This window comes from Homo sapiens, chromosome 4, assembly GCF_000001405.40.
Source record: "Homo sapiens chromosome 4, GRCh38.p14 Primary Assembly".
NCBI classification, from domain to species: Eukaryota; Metazoa; Chordata; class Mammalia; order Primates; family Hominidae; genus Homo; species Homo sapiens.
The window spans coordinates 160,771,204-160,774,186 of NC_000004.12; positions in this window are offsets into that span (position 1 = coordinate 160,771,204).

The following is a 2,983-nucleotide window of genomic DNA, read 5'->3' on the forward strand; positions in this document are numbered from 1 at the left end:
AGCTGTTTCAAGGGTAATTTCCAACACTTACTAAAAGCAAAAAAAAGTACATATTTTTATGTTTTGTAGTGCAACTATAGAAAATAATTTAAAGGAGAAAATCATTAATGTTTACGAATGCTTCTAATATTCATATCATTAATCAAAATGTATTTAAAAAACCATTAGAGAAAATTCATTCATGCATGCGTTCATTCATTTATTCAATTTTTAATATCTTTTTAGAATTTTTTTGGGCAGATGCAGGTCTGGTACTTGGACTACCTAAAAGAAAAAAAAAGGATGGCTGTCCTCATGATACTTACATTCTAGCAGAAGAGACGTCTGTCTTCTGCTAGAATGTAAGTATCACGAGGATGGACATCCAAGAATAAATATAAAAGCTTGGTAAACGGACCTTAATTCCAGTGAAAAAAGATAGCTATGTTCATTTAAGGTGGTTGTGAAGCTTCCTTAAGAGAAAAGCATTGGCCCAAAAGACTATCTGAGTTTCTCAGGCTGAAAGAAGAGGTTCTGAAGCAAGAATATGTCTGACATGTCCAATCCAAGATAAATACATGAAATTCTCAAGAAAGTCTGAGGCTAAATATATTGTGAAAGACAGTATTCCATTGTTCTAATTTACATAAGACAGGACTTTTAAAGAAATATACAAGAACAAATGTAAAAGCAATTAAGGAAATATTCACCAAAACTTTATGATAAAAGGCAAAATAAAATTGCAATATTTTATAGGAAAACTTCATGCATAGAGAACCACTATTAGGTATATTCTGGTAATACATTCAAACTGTAAAATGTTAAAGCACTCATGAATGAGTAGAGGATAAAATAAAAATGTGTTATAAATAAGTCAGAAAGTTCATTAATGAAAGCTATATGTATCCAAAAATGATATTTCTCAAAAATTCTATGGACAGTCAAGAGGAATTATAGTGTGAATGCAATATGAACATGTTCTTGGATTGATTTTCAAGGATTTAGACTACAACTTCCTAAAATTCTTTATGAATCAACAACTCAAACACCTGTTTCTTATGTAGTGAAAACTAAACAAAAAGTATGAATCAAATGATAATAGATGGAATGCCCTCCTTTCCAAATTTTTATTAAAATGATTTGATATATTACTCATACCTTTACTCATTCTTCTCTGAATGACTTTAAGCATTTGGTGAATTTGGGAAATAAATATTTAAATTTTAAAATGTTAATAAAAGCACTCATCAATAAGTACAGGATAAAATATAAATATAACTGAACAAGTTCATCAATAAAAGTGATGTTTAATATGTAAAACTATATTTAAAATATAGCCAATGAAATTACATTTATTTTCATAGTTCCCTCTTTGTCAGTAATCTTTTCCAGTAATGAATAAGCCTCTATTTCTAATAAAATGGCTGAAATAAAAACAAGTAATATAAAATAAATAATTGTTGGCCTTTACCTTATTCTTTATTTCTCCAATTTTTCAAAATCAAAGTATGAGAAAGGGCCACCATTAATTGAGGACTTTCTCAGTGATTACAAATCTGTGTTTATCTGAAATAAGAGGATATAAAATCCTAAGAGTGGAATTTAGGGTGCTAAATATATATGAAGAGAAGAGTTTGTGCAGCCCAGATCTATGACTCATTCCCTGGGCTTGTGAACCTGCAGCCTGCTTTCTACTTTGCAGCTTGGAGGCCAGATGGGTTTTTCAGTTGTGCAGTTAGTTTTTAGTGCTATGGCTTGAATATAAAGCTTTAGATGTCATAGAGTGACTACAGCTTATGGCGGCTATATCCACAAGAGGATGAATACTTCAGGAGCGTGCCCTGGGCCTTCAAGGAATAACTCATAAGCCTCACCTAACTTTTCACTTTGAAAGAGAGAAGAAACTGGGTTAGGAAAGTCAACATGTGGCCTAAGAGAAGAGAAAAATTACCTAATAAGCAATGAGAGACAGGCTTAAGGAATACCTCTAAGCCTCAGTTTTCTTAAGCCTAACAATGGGATGACCACATGAGATGTGGTCCCTGGCAAGCAGCCCCCAAGCCACAGTGTGGACCATTTAAAGTCATGGAGTGTGGACCATTTAAAGTCATGGACCTGCCCAGGTACAGACACTGTCAAGTCCTGGCTACACTTTTCCTAAATACGGTGACATGGAAAAGTTAATTGTGTAGAAAATAGTCTTTCTCGTCTTTTAGGACTTCATGTGCTGAACAGTATTTTCAGGCTTTAAGCTAAAGGCACTGGGTTCTGTGGATGCTAGATAGCATTTCTGATGCTCTATCTTTAACATTTTAGTGCCTGGCACAGATCACTGCTGCAAATTCTCGTTAAAGTCTTGTTTAAGTTCATTGTTTAAGTTTTGAACTGCCTTTACCTCTAGGAGAAACAGGTGAGGAGGGGCTAGCAAACCCTCGTTTATATGGCTTTACACAGGCTAAAATACATGCCTTATCAAGAATTTCATTTGGCTCTGGATTTTTAAATTATATGAGCTCTGATTACAACCTCTTTTTTTTGGTACAGAACATTGGTTTCACTTGTAAAATACAGTATATTTTATCAATTAATAAATAAAAAGAAAAACAGCAAGCCTTATTTTAAAGGGAATATTTCTATTTATTAGTTAAGACAAGCAACCTGGCAACATTTTTACAATCCCAAAGTGTAAATGTAACATTCAAAATTTTTGTTACTAGGAATCAGCACTATTCAGGAAACAAAAGAGAAATTAGGGTGGTTAAAACAATAAATGAGAAGAAATGGAAACAAATAAAAAAAAATAGGCTAATTAAATAGCAGAGGAAGAGATATAAGCCTTAGAAGAAATCTGAGTTCTTAGAAGACAAGCTCAATAAATATAAGGGAATATGTCCTCTACTTTTGCTAATAGAAAGCCAGTTATCAATCAAATCACCACTTCTTTGTGATAACTTTTATTTATTTATTTTTCTTTTTTTATAACTTTCTTTTTGCCTTGTTTTGT